The sequence below is a fragment of the Homo sapiens genome, chromosome 17, assembly GCF_000001405.40.
Source record: "Homo sapiens chromosome 17, GRCh38.p14 Primary Assembly".
In the NCBI taxonomy this organism is placed as follows: domain Eukaryota; kingdom Metazoa; phylum Chordata; class Mammalia; order Primates; family Hominidae; genus Homo; species Homo sapiens.
In genome coordinates, this window is record NC_000017.11 from 61,128,216 (window position 1) to 61,142,892 (window position 14,677).

Sequence of the window (14,677 nt, forward strand, 5' to 3'; positions counted from 1 at the left end):
TACATGAAGATGAAGCCCATGCAATGAGGACAGCCTAGGCCGTGTTAGGCTTTGACTTAAATCAGATTTCATCTACGGCTGAGATGCAGAGGAGAGACTTAGTGAAATATGCAGAGCTCCATTCCAGTTCCTTTCTTATTTGTTTGATGTACAGGCTTATTTAAGTGAAAGGTGGGACACCAGTAGATATACATTCAGACAAATCACCCTGCAGTTATTGCTCAACAGAGTAATAATAATAGATTTGGAGAATGTTCTGTGTTTTCAAAGACAGAGGTTAACAAGCAATGGACAAACCTTCCGTTCTTCTCTATCCCAAATCGTTTGAATCGTTTGACTGCTATACACAATCCCCAGCACTTATAAAATAAAAAAAGTATGGAGAGAGAGAAAGCAAGTAACCCAGCAGAGTTTGTGACAGAAACTGTTAGCCCTCTTTTGTATTGTTTCTGCATCGTCCTGTCAAACATCTGGAAACCAGCATATTGGCAGTCGTCTCACAACATGATTTTGCATTTACATCATCGTGCTAGCTGGTAGAATTTTTTCCCCCAGGAAAAAAAAATCGGCAACTTTTGGTCTGTCACAAGGTCAAGTGATGATTAGTGATGTAGTCTCTCCTAAACACATGGTTAGCACAGAAAATTTAAATCAGTTCCCCAAAATTTGGTAACCATTAAATTACTTCCTAAGTCACTTCCGGATGTCAGGCCTAAGGTGGAGAGGGGGACAGGGCTATATTGAGTTCTCCGCAGTTTTCTAACAGAGAGATTTAGTTTGGCAGCTGATCCAGCCAAGGAAACGCTCACGCAAGGGCAGAGCTAGACAGGAAACACTTTTGAAAGTGCTGTTTTGATAGAGGATCAGGAGATCAGGCAAAGAGCTGTGAACTTTATGTGTAGCCTAGGCCATGTAGCACTAGGCTAGCCACCTGAGGGTATGGAGTAAGAAAGGAAATTAAAGGAGAAGGGCCAGAGATCTTACAGGCAATTTTCTTTTCTCAAAAGAGCAGTGCTAAAAATTATGAATTTCTTTGAAGTAGAGGAACATAATTAATGAATTTCTTTGTTGTTGTTGTTGTTTGTTTGTAAAACATTCTGCCATCATTATTCACCTTTACATTTTTAACATGATTGTTAGCTTAGACTACGAGAGCTAACCTCACCCATTCTAACCACCTTTTTATAGCTCTCAGAAGAGCTGTCTTCTAAGGAAAACACTGCACTGAGCAAAGGTTGTACTTTTGTAAGATGGACGTTTTATAATGATAAGTTTTGACAACTTGCTCTGGTTGCCATGTGTCTCCCAGTCCTGCTGGTGGGTGGGTATTTGTCAGGAATGAGAATACGTCTGAGATGGTCTGCTTTACAGCAGCCAGTCTTGATTTTCAACTTCCAGGGCCTTCGGCATCCTTTTGGCTCTGTAAACATAGAAGGCTTTGCTGCCCTTGGCTGTGCTGTTGGAGAAAAGGAGAGCATCCTGTTTAGGGAGGTGCCGATCTTCAGTTTCAGAACCATTGTTTGACACCTTTAGTTCCTCCCGTGGACTTCATGTCCTTCCTTGTCCATAGTTTGGAACTTACAATCTGAGTATTCCTTCTATTGAGCTACTCTTCAAGGTCTACAGAAGCCATTTTTGTTTATAAAGCTGTAATTTCTCACAGCAGATCATTTCATTATTTCTGTCTTAATTACAGAATTTCAAAGAAAAATAAAATCCTTATCTGTACTTAACAAAGACTGCCAACACTTTTCCATAGACCACCAATGATTCTTGTTTTGTAGCTTTTTGTTTATAAAGGCAATGTTGTATTCCACAGCATCATTACACACTGCTTCTGTGACTCAGACAGCTGGCAGGTCCAAGATAGAGCATATGGATGATGCTCTAATGACATCTGTCCAGTTGTTGTAATCACATATTTGGTGGACAGCTAAAAGACCCACTTTCACCTTAACTGAGTTTATGTGACTAATTTTAAATTTACTGTAAACACTTTTTTATACGTCTCATGCTTATTAATACTTAATAATAATTCCACAAGTATTTCTCTCAATTCTAAATCCCAGAGCACCATAGAAACTGGCAAAATATCTTCCCAATTAATTATGAGAAATTCATCTGTACAATTTTCTTATTAATTCTCGTATCCAAAAGAACCACAATACAACCCAAGACCCCAATCATTAGAATAACCACAAAACCGATTCTTAATTACCTCTTGCCTGGGACACTGCAGAAGTAACCAAATCGGTCCCACAAACATAAGCCTCTCTAACCCTGCCACCTCCCCCAGTTTATGTTACGTAATATGGTGAGAATCTTCTTCCTCAAATACTTTTTATCCTGTCATCCCTGTTCTCAAGAATCTTCAGTTGTATCCCATTTTACACCAGGAAGTTCAAATGTTTGAATGGAGATTTAAAAAGTCTAGCTATGCTTCTTGTACATCCCCTCTAGGAGCACACCCACTCTAATCAAACTGACCTTTTTAGTTTAGCTGGGCTCCAACCAGTTCTGTTCTAGCTCCTGAAGTCAGCGTCAAGAAATATTGGTCTTGGCCAGGAGCGGTGCCTCACACCTGTAATCCCAGCACTTTGGGAGGCCAAGGCGGGCTGATCACTTGAGGTCGGGAGTTCGAGACAAGCCTGGCCAACATGCAAAACCCCGTCTCTGCTAAAGATATAAAAATTAGCCTGGCCTGGTGGCGGGCACCCGTAATTCCAGCTACTTGGGAGGCTGAGGTGGGAGAATCACTTGAACCTGGGAGGCGGAGGTTGCAGTGAGCCGAGATTGCGCCACTGCACTCCAGTCTGGCAGACAAAGCAAGACTCTGTCTCAAAAAGGGGGAAAAAAAAAGATGTTGGAGACCTAGGTTCTAGAGTAAACTCTGCCACTACCTAGCTAGGTTGACCTTTAACAAGTCTATTTAACTTTTTCTTAGGTTATTTCTAAGAGAGTTTCAAAATGAAAAAAAATACTATGTGTTTGTAATTTTATGATTATAATTCCATTTAAGTAAAATAACAAAAATAACACTCGTATCATAGACATTAGAGAGTTCTTACTTGGAAAGTTTCATTTCCTAATGACATCACTGAAACAGCAGGTATGACAGAGGGTTCCCTGACTTTGATAGTTTTAATTATCTTAATTTATCCTCTGTTCCTCTGCCTTGGGCTTATTAAGTTTTGAATTAGGTATGAAAATTATTAAGCCAGGGGTATAAATTACAATTCGTTAAATAAATTCATAATATATTTTATACGCTTAAAATGAAATTATATTCCAAACTCATAATTAAGTATGAACAATTTGCATTTGAGATTTTAAAATAAAGCCTAAACATCGGTCCCTTCCTTCTTCATTAATTTATTTCTCCATAAAGGCCTTTCTTCCTTGAGGTCTGTGAGCCTCCAGGCCTTTGCAGCCTGTAGTGGTCTGCACTTCTCTGTTTTTCTTTCCCTGAGAGTGCTGATTAGTGACTTGCGGTGTGGATTCTGATTTATCGCAGACCAGAGCTGCCCCTTAGGGGCTGAGCAGAAACACTCATGAAGGAGCCCTGATTAAAAAGAGTGGTAATGAAGACAAATGTTTCAGAGGGAGTTGAGAGAAAACCAGTCCTTGGCATTCCCCATAGCTCCTCTGAGCTTTTGAAAAGGAGGTAGTGGTAGCCAAAGGAAATATTTCTTCTTTGTTGTTTATTTCTCATGGCACTGGAAACATTTTTCTTTTCCTCTTGGGTGTTCTAATTCTCACTTGTTAACTGCTTTTCATGCAGGGTTGCAATTAACCCCTGGCAGATACCTCACCGTGTTCTCCTTATAGCCACTCTGTCCCCAAAGAAGTTTTTAATGCTTTGACCTATAACCATTTTAAAATTCTTCAGACTTGACACTTGCCTAATTTCTCAGATCATTAAATCACACTTCTGGTTTTTTCCAGTGATTTTTACTAAATTTGATGTTAGGTACCTATAATTACCTTCCCTTCTTCTTATTTTTACAAGACAGAATGCCAGCAGAAAAAAACAAATTCCTGTTCACTTGGTAATTTTAAACACAACCAGGTCAAAAGTTTCAAATCTAGTGTTAAGTCCGTAACTGAAGGCACCATTCCAAAACTACTTGAGTATAGGTGAGAACTTGACAGATAATTATGGTTGCTTGACCTGGGTCTTGGGGCATCTACCAAATCTTAATGGTAGTCTCACTGTCTGTGGCCATGTGAGCTATAATCTACTGCCCTGGTCAAACTTAACCAAAATTCTGTTTTCTTTCAGAAGATTCCCTAACATTGGAATAAATGGTAAGAATATAGATTGTTTGTGCCGGGCTTATACAATGGGTCTCTAAACTATATTGAGTGGTCAAAATGCCACATTCAGAATACTTAGAGAGGGAGAAAGATAAAGTGCCTTGGAAGCCGTGAAACATTCTAGGGAGCAAGAGCACACCACTGTACATGCTCCTGGTTTGTGTGCTGCAGACTGTGTTAAATGCAGAGGAGGCAAGGTGGAGAGAAGGAAAGACAAGAGAAGTGGAAGATAGAGTCCACTCCCCTATCCCCGTCAATGAGAAGAAGCTCCTTACCAGGTCTGTGTGGGTCACGGGGCAAGATCAAAGAATCCAAGCAAGGTTCATAAAATGCCACCACCCCTGATTCATGACCTGACCTACTGAAAGGTTTAACTTCCAGAGGCAGGTTGTGGTTTCTGATCCAATCAAGTGGATTCCTTTTCTTGGAGAAAGTCTCACTGTACTGAAAGAATCTTGTCAGATATCCAAGGCTAAAGGAAAATTTTAAATCTAATCCAATCAGATGAAGAAGCTGATAAAAAAGGTATAACCATTAGTGGGAGAGCAGCATTTAAAATTCTCTCTATGGCTTTTCTGGGCTTTTTACCTCTGTCTCAACCAAAACCAAAACAAAACCCCAGAACAACAACAAATGAGTTGAATGTTGCTCAGATTTGGAGTATTTGATGTTACCCCTTTCTGATGAACGTCTGAGATTAAAGATCTGCATTAAAGATGAAATAGAACACACTAAGAAAAGGGTTGGGTAAGAACTTTCACACATACTTTGTTTCTATTGAGGTTGGGTCCATCTTGAAGATCAGACTCTTCCCCAAATACAAAGGCAAGGTCAGGGTCTGAGTTAGGCTAACTGATGTCAAGTACAAGTTCTGTAGGAAAAAACAAAAATTGCTGCCACTCATCTACCAAGAGACAAAGATTTAGGCTGCTGGACTAATTGCCAAGTTTGTAAGATTACTTCAGGAGCACCCTCCAGGCTAGTAGAATTCCGTGCAAATTTCAACCATTTGACATTACTTCCCTGTTAAGTAGGGAAGAAAGACTTAGTAATTTTCAGGACTGAACCAAATTCCCCCTCAAGTATTGATACACTCTCTTCCCAGTCTGAAATACTGGCATACTGTTATTTATTTTTCCTGGCTTCAAACAGGCATATTAAGATTTCATGGATCTCTGAATCTTTCTTTGAGGATCTGGGAACACATCAGAAAAACCAGATAGAAAAGAGGGAAGAGGAAATAGGTTATTTCCTTAGCCTCCTGAAGCAAATGAATTGGAAGGGTGCTTTCTGTGACTTTCATTGGCCTGCAACTGCCTGGAATCTCAAAAAAAAAAAAAAAAAAAAAAAGGAAACCCAAAAAACCATCTTTGATTCCTTACTGTGTAATCTTTTAACAAAGTATTTTGCAAACATACTTAGCATGTGATTTTCACATATGTGTTCCAAGGAGCAATGGAGCAGAGTTGGAGAGATGAAAGCATTTGAAGACTGCAAAGTAATTTTAAATTGAGGGATGTACTAACAAAGGAGTCATATACAAAAAGGGAGGAGAGGTAGAGTTGGCCTGATGTGGAAAATAAATATTTCATATAGTCTGCTATAGTCTGGCCAGTATGAATTAAATAAAAGTCACATTCATAATGAACACTGGAGCAATTATACATCCTAAAAAGAAAGGGAAGAAATACCATTTCGTAATAAGAAGATGAGGATCAATAATAGTAGTGAACACTTGTTGATTTTTTAAAAATCAACTGTTAGGCACTGTGCTCAGACTTTATGAGCATTGTCTCATTTTTCATCGTTTTATAAATTAGGAAATTGAGGTCTTGTGAAAGTAACGTGCCTGGATTGACACAGTAAGCTGGTGGAATGAGGATTCGGAACCACGCATGTCTGACTCCAGAGCCCTCGCTTTTTACACCAGCCTCTACTATCTCCCTGTGTGACTCTGGTCAGTTAATCCATTTATAAAATGAGAGTATTGGACTGAGCAATTTCTAGATCCTTTTGGTTCTAGAATTATAGGAAAGTATTTTAAAGTCGAGAGAACTGTGTTATGGTGGGACATTTAGAGACAAACTGAAATGGTGATTGTAATGACATTTCAAGTTAATGATAGCTAGCATTGATGGAGCCTGTACTATATAATTATGTAATTATATTTACAAACACCTCATTTAACCTTCAAAACAATCCTTTTTGACATCAGTTTTTTGTTCCTAAGAAAAGTTAAGTAACATCTCCAAATCACAGAACTAGAATTATTCATGAAGAGTCAGCCACATCAAAGATCCAAAACACGGGTTTTAAGATTTCAAATGGTTAATACTCTACTTTTCTCTTAGATTGTTGTTTTGTTTTTTTTTGAAATAAAACATTTGTACAAGTCAGTAAAAGTGATATACAGTATTTCTTCAAAACTGGAATGTTATTAGAGTTCTTGCTTGAAAATAGTTCCAAATTAAACATATGAGGTTTCCAGTAGTTTGAAGACTTTAGAATCCGACTTGAGATCAAATCGGAACTGAGACAGTGAGGTCACCTAAACTGCGACGTGTGAAGTGCCCTGTTTCATGCTTCTTATAATGACATGATAAGGCCATTAGTATTATCTTTATTATAACAGATGATTATAAATGGTACAGACTTGGTTTCTTATTATCTGGTACTTTTTGTCACTTAGCCCTAATTTTCTTAATTCAAAGACATATTCTGTTAGTACTAGGGAGCAAGTTTAAGACTGACTTTGCCACACTAATCAAATTACATCAGTGTCAAGTGCTCACTAATTAACACAAAATTTATATCTGCATTAGGTAAATGTCATTTCACCACAGTGGCCTGAAATAAGCTTTTTATTCCTTTGAATTAGCATACCATTTCATTGTAAGTATTACAAACAAGCTAATGACAAAATTTAGGCCCATGTGCATTTGTTATTTAGCTGGAAATAGCCAGAAGACAGTCAGTACTTCCAAAGATCTGTAGGAAAATGCCCTGCTTCATTTTTTAACTGATCAGCTAGCTGACTTGTCACCTTGAGGTCCTGTGTGTACATCATAGAAGGGCTTAGCAGACTACTGCCACCCCCTGTCTATATGCAGCCCACGGGCTAGAACAGTTCTCACATTTTTAAATGGGAGGAAAAACATCAAAAGAAGATTTTATGAAACCTGAAAATCACATGAAATTCACATGTCAGGCTCATAAATAAGTTTTAATGCAACAGAGTCATGTCTGTTCACTTATGTATTATCTATGGCTGCTCTCCCTATGATGGCAGAGTTGAGCAGCTGTAACAGAGACCGTGCGGCCTAAAGATACTTACTGTCGGGCTGGTTACAGAAAATGTTTTCCAAACAGAAGCTGTATTCCAAATTCTTTCCTAATGTGGCATACAAAGCCTTTAGGATCTGGCTCCTGTGTGCCTCTCCTGCCGCTGCTGCTGCTGCTGCTGCTCCTGTTTCCGCTTCTGCCATGGCCACCGCCACTGCCGCCGCCTCCTCCTTCTTCCCTGCACCCCTTCGCGCCTGCCTTCCCCGCGACCGGCAGCCTGAGCTCTAACAATTCTCAACTACTAGCACCTCTTAGACTCCAAAATGCTTTGCACCTATTTAAATGTTTTCCCGTGCTCTTCCCTCTACATAAAATCATTTCTTTCCATCCTGAGTACCCATGGCAAGCTCCTATCTTCCAATATTTTTACTTAAGCATCCCCTCTTCTTCTCTGCACCTGGAGCATCTTGGACATAGCTTTGTTTCCACCTTGCATTCACCCACTAGACAGTAAGCTTTTTCAAGACAGATACTGTCTCTTCTTCATCTCTATATCTGTAGAACAGGGTTTCTCAGCGTAAGTACTGAAGGTATTTTGGACTGGACAATTCTTTGTGTGCAGCTGTTTTATGCATCATATAGGATGTTTAGCAGAACCCCTGGCCTCTACCCGTTAGATAGCAGCACGCCCCCTTCCCTCAGATGCCTCCAAATATTGCCAAATGTCCCCTTGTGGACAAAATTGTCCCATTTATTTATTGAGAGACGGAGGCTGGATGTTGTCGCCCAGGCTGGAGTGCAGTAGCGCGATCTCAGCTCACTGCAACCTCTGCCTCCCAGGTTCAAGCAATTCTTATACCTCAGCCTCCTGAGTAGCTGGGATTACAGGTGTGTGCCACCACACGCAGCTAATTTTGCATTTTTAGTAGAGATGGGGTTTTGCCATGTTGCCCAGGCTGGTCTCAAATTCCTGGCCTCAAGTGATCCACCCACCTCGGCCTCCCAAAGTCCTGAGATTACAGGTGTGAGCCACTGTGCTCAGCCAATTGTCCCCATTTAAGAACCACTACCCTGGAAACCAGCAGTAACCAGACCCTGGTGGGTGCTGAGAAAATGTTGAATTATTCAGATAGTTGATTCACATTGAATTGTATACATCAAATGTAAGAATTATGAATTACATTTCAATAAAACTTTTTTAAAAAAAGTATTGGTTTACTATTAGTTATTATTAGTGGCATTATTATGAGGTGGTTTCCATTTGTTTTCCTCAGTGGCCACCAGTGCAACTGATTTTGTCATATACTGTACTCATTGATGCCAAATATATATATCTTATTTAATGCTGACTTCAAACCTGGGAAGTTGATTTGTTTATCTCTTCTTAACTTTTTGGAAATGCAGACACAAAAAGATTCAGCAAATTGCTTAAAATCGAGGTAACTAGCAAGCATATATCAAGGGATACATGACTCGGCTTCTGTCTAGTTTCAAAGCCTGTACTCATTCCATCTGACCATGTTGCTTCCATAAGCCACATGCCAGCCACATAATGAATTTCTTGATTAGAATACAATGCATATACCTACCAAAGATAGTATGTGCATATAGCAAATATGAGCAATTTCTAAATAATGGGAGCATTATTTTTGTTCAAAATGCTAAAAACTGGGGCCAGGCGTGGTGGCACACGCCTGTAATCCCAGCACTTTGGGAGGCCAAGGTGGGCGGATCACCTGAGGTCAGGAGTTTGAGACCAGCCTGGCCAACATGATGAAACCCTGTCTCTACTAAAAATTCAAAAGTTAGCTGGGCGTGGTGGCACACGCCTGTAATCTTAGCTACTCTGGAGGCTGAGGCAGGAAAATCACTTGAACCCGGAAGGCAGAGATTGCAGAGCCAAGATTGCACCAGTGCATTCCAGCCTGGGTGACAGAGCAAGACTCCATCTCAAAAAGAAAAACAAAACAAAATGCTAAAAACTGAATTATCAGTAGAACAGCCCATGTACTCTGTGGACGGTGATGGGTTTTTGTTTTGTGGGAGTTGTTGTTTTGGTTGATTCGGTGTTTCCTTTGAGTCCACTGAGGAGCCACTGTTTTCTTCCATATCTTTAGATCCTGATATGGTAGGACATGCACAATCTATTTTGAATCATCATAAAGATTGAATTTTCAGCCTACAAAAACAAAAGAAAATTCTTAGGGCATCAGTTCTCATCTTTCAGATAGAACCTAGGACCTGTGAGGCTGGTAATCTTTGGAATAGCACTGTATGGTAAAACTTTCTGTGATAATGGAAATGTGGCGTATCTGTGCTGTCCAATATAATAGTCACATGTGGCTGCTGAGTGCTGGGAATGTGGCTGTTATAACCAAGGAACTGAAATTTTAAATTTCATTTAATTTTAATTGATTTAAATTTAAATAGTTGATGTGGCTATTGGCTATCATTTTGAATAGCACAGCTTTAGAAATCTTAGCTTTGACAAAAACCACAAACTTAAGTTTATCCCCAGCAAACATCTTAGGTGCCAGAGACGGCAGATTTGGATTGAATAAATTATCCATGTTGAGTATCTACGTGGGAACTCCTAGTTATACAGTGCAGATTCAGAGATTACTGTTGTACCTTGGCTATGTGACTTACACACAGACCAAATTACTCTGCTGGGGGTAAATTCATACTCCAGTGTTACTTCAACATTTCTGAACATCTTTTTGTAAGCAATTTTGCATTTTTTACTGACTTGATTGTTGTAGTAATTACAAAATAAATTATCCATTTAGGGGGCAGTGTTGAAGCATTGAGGAATAAAAGGATAAATGTGGTATATTTGATTGTTTTCAGTGTTTAAGAACTCTTATTGGAATAAGAGACTTACTTTATTGAAGTCTTATAATTTTTTACTAGAACATTTGTTTTTTGGCTCTTGATCCAAATGACAGCTGAATTTAGGAATTCAGCAGAAAAGTAACAATTCTTTTTGGGCATTTTTCTGATTATTTACTTGGAAATTCAGAGGATTCCATGTCTTGGAATATTTTTTTTCATACCCATAAGATTTGAATGGTGAAGATAAGAAAATTATAATAAGTTGATAGGTTTTCATCAGCAGTACATTCTTAAAAAGAAGAAAAATATTTTATTTCAAATGCTATCCTGAATTAGCTGTAATCTTCAAGTTATTTTTAAACCCACTTTATGCTTTTGCTTACATTTGTTTATTAAATCTATTAGATCTAGAAAAAATTAGAGACAGAGATGAATTTTTTATTCTTGGATTTTCAAGAATTGTTATCTTTTTATTTATACCTATTTTCCCCCTGTACTTGTATTGCTAGTGATAGAAGTTCTGAATTACGGATACATTCTTAGGCTTAAAGAGTACACATTTTTTCCCTTAGAGTTATAGATGATCTAATCTAAAAAGTTGGAGGACTTAAAAAGAAAGTGTGAAGATTTTTTTTTCTTCATTTCCTGATTTGCTTCTTTAAGGAAGTGCGAGAAGGTTAAAGATGTCTGTGATCTGGCCAAACGAGGTTCACAAATGCTGTTTTCATATTTGTGGTTTTGGTGTTTCCTCTTACACATGTGTCTTCCTTCTTCAGTTTCTCAGTCTGTCGAGAGAGCATGGCTGCACCCTGTGCATTCTGGGCACACATCATCTGGGCTCAGTGCGGGCTTTGTTTATAGCAGAAGCCATAATGTATAATGTTCAGGAGTGGGTGAGCTACCTAAGAAACTCCCTTTGAAGGATTCCTTGTGTGGACTGCTTATCAGAAAAAGTGTAAATGCTATTATTGACTGTTTCCTAGAACTCATACATGCAGTATAGTTCAGTGCGATTAAAAGTCATCATGCTACATGATGTAGGGAATATAAAAAATGAAGAAGGCATGCTCCCTGGCCCCCAGAAACTTGGAATTCAGTTGATAAAAATACAACCCTAGTGACCATAGAATAAGGCAGATGGAGTTCTCTCAGAATGCAAAGAAAGGTAAAATTTGTTGTAATGGGTGATCAGAGAAAGTTTTATGGAAAAAATGCCGTTTGAGCTAGAATTTGAGGAATACGTGGAATTTTGGCAGGAGAAGATTGAGGAAAGGGATACCTACTGTCAAGACACAAAGTGATATGACCGGGCACAGTGGCTCACGCCTGTAATCCCAGCACTTTGGGAGGCCGAGGTGGATAGATCACTTGAGGTCAGGAGTTCGAGGTCAGACTGGCCAATATAGTGAAACCCCATCTCTACTAAAAATACAAAAAATTAGCTGGGCGTGGTGGTGCATTCCTGTAAACCCAGCTACTCAGGAGGCTGAGGCAGGAGAATCACTGGAACCCAGAAGGCGGAGGTTGCAGTGAGTCAGGATCACACCACTGCACTCCAGCCTGGGTGACAGAGCAAGACTCCATCTCAAAAAAAAGGAACAGAGTCACCAAGACATACACATACTGGACCAATTTGGGAAAGTACGGAAGTTTGCTTTGAATATATAGCAAAGGATATGTGAGGGATAGCTGTGGAAGATCCAACTGTCAAGGAAGGTTAGGACCAGACTCTGAAAGTAGAGTGCTGGTGGGAGATGTGGAACAGGGGACAAGAGATGGAAGGTTTTGAGTTGGGGAAAAGTATTCTGGCAGCAGGATTGAAACATTAAAGAAAAGTAACCCTGTTAAGTGGTTATCACAATCAAACATTTACCAAGTAATCACTGCAAGTGGATTCAATTTGTAAAGTCACATAAAAGTTGCTTATCTCTCCACTTTTTTTTTTTTTCTGGAGAAACAGCACTCTGGCATTTGGCCATCTTAGTATGGCCTTTATATAACTTTGGAATGCAAAAGAAAAGAGAAAACTCTCTTTGTAAAGTCAATTAAAAGCTAATTGTTTGTGATTTTTTAAGTTAATAAATATATATTTACATAGTTTATAGTTGTTACATAAAACTTTCATGTTCTTTTCCTTATGAAATGACTCTATGACTTTGGGCACATTACAGATTGTAATGTAGTGGATTGATGGTACATGATTTAAGGGAAATCTTGTACTAATCTGCAAGTATCCTGAAAAATGTTAAGTAAGGAAAAAGCATGCCTCCCTGTGCTCTTTGTCCATTTGAGTGTTTTTTTTTTCCCCCAAAAGTATAATAGTGAAATGGGGCAGGCATGAAGCCCGTGAGAGATCATTGCTACCACTTCTACTTTTCATTATCATGTCTCTTTATCCTGATTCACCTGTACAGCGGGACTAGGCTGGTTCATTTCAACACAGTAATGAGTATTCATCCTCTGTTGCCCTAAGAACTTACACCTACTGGTTCATAAATGGTCATAAATGTTCAACATTTACGAATTTATGTTGAAGTACATAAATTCTTCAACAAGGGGCCTTTACATTCATATGTAGGGCATTTGGTTGCTTAAATATTGAAACAATTATAAAGAAGTTAAATTAGGCTGGGCATGGGGGTTCATTCCTGTAATCCCAGCATGTTGGGAGGCCAAAGTGGGAGGACCGCTTGAGACCAGGAATTTGAGACCAGTCTGGGCAACATACCAAGACTCTGTCTACAAAAAAAGTGTTAAAAGTAACCAGGTATAGTAGCAGGAGTCCATAGTCCCAGCTACTTGGGAGGCTGAGGTGGAAGGATTCCTTGAGTCCAGGAGTTCGAGACTGCAGTGAGTTATGATCACACCACAGCACTCCAGCCTGGGCGGCAGAGCGAGACCCTGTCTCAAAAAATAAAATAAAAGTTGAATCACCCACGTTTTAGATTATGAGCTTATTAAAACTTAAACAGGCTGGGCGTGGTGGCTCACACCTGTAATCCCAGCTCTTTGAGAGGCTGAGGTGGGCGGATCACGAGGTCAAGAGATCAAGACCATCCCGGCCAACATGATGAAACCCCACCTCTACTAAAAATACAAAAATTAGCTGGGCGTGGTGGCGCACGCCTGTAGTCCCAACTACTCAGGAGGCTGAGGCAGGAGAATCGCTTGAACCCAGGAGGCGGAGGTTGCAGTGAGCCGAGATCGCGCCACTGCACTCCAGCCTGGTGACAGAGCGAGACCCCACCTCAAGAAAAAAAAAAAAAAAAAAGTTAGACAATTATACAGAGATACTCAAGTTCTTGAAAGAAGTTTGTTGAGGATAAGATTTATTTAAATGGAGTAGTTTTACTCTTATTTCCACTCTCATTTTCTCCTTTTCCCCAGATATATACACCTTCTCATTTATTGGTGTTTATTACATGTAAGATTCTCTTGTTTTATTTTTTTTTAATGAGCTAAGTTTATTATTAAGGTACTTGGCTATGTACTGTATATACCTTATCTCATTAATCTTGTTGACAATCTGCTAGGTAATTGTTATTATTTCCATTTTAGAGACGAGGAGACAAAGACTTAAAAAGGTTATTTGCCCGGTTAGTAATTGGCAGAGCCAAATTTAAACCCAGATCTGTACAATTGAAGCTGATGTCTTAACTACTATAGTACAGCGGCTTTCTTGATGCTAGATGATGTGGCCCCAGTTTTGGTAATGGAGGAATACTGATCCAATCCAAAGTGGATGTTTGCATGGAGGAGTCAGAGAATTTTAAGAATGAAAGGGTACATGGAAGCCATCAGCCCTCATGTAAAACAAAAGTCCTGTGTATCTGATAAATGTTCTCTGTTTAACTAGATTTGTATAGTGCCCTGGGAGTACTAGTTAGCATTAGTAACAACATTCTGGGGCAGGGGAGGGTGGGGGAACGTATCATCAGAAAAAATGGATTTGGGGATATAGAGGTGAAGGCAGGAAGAGGCAGTCATATAGAATGATGTGCTTGGAAGATCTCTGCCTTTTCATGTACTGCATCTGACAAAAATGGATTTGATGACATCTGGGATTTGCTTCAAAATAATAGAGGAGGAGGGAAGTGGATTTGGATGTGGATGGGACGGGATTGGCCTGGTTTGATGGTTGTTGGGGTTGTATGATGGATGCATGGGTTTTATTATGTTTTTCTATTTTGATGTATGTTCAAAATTCTCCATAATAAAATGTTTTTAAAAGTTATTTGAAAGT

General features: G+C 39.3%; 1 protein-coding gene and 1 long non-coding RNA gene across 11 annotated transcripts in view; one reads left to right on the forward strand and one right to left on the reverse strand.

Annotated features, from left to right (window-relative positions):
* BCAS3-AS1 (BCAS3 antisense RNA 1) overlaps positions 1 to 7,797 on the reverse strand; it is a 101,500-nt gene extending 93,703 nt beyond the window's left edge. For all 3 annotated transcript variants that reach the window (NR_186506.1, NR_186505.1, NR_186507.1), the window contains exon 1: positions 7,652 to 7,797. This is a non-coding gene — a long non-coding RNA (BCAS3 antisense RNA 1). The remainder of the gene's footprint in view (positions 1 to 7,651) is intronic.
* The window catches only part of BCAS3 (BCAS3 microtubule associated cell migration factor), a 714,981-nt gene that overhangs the window by 450,365 nt on the left and 249,939 nt on the right, over positions 1 to 14,677 (forward strand). The window lies entirely within an intron of this gene.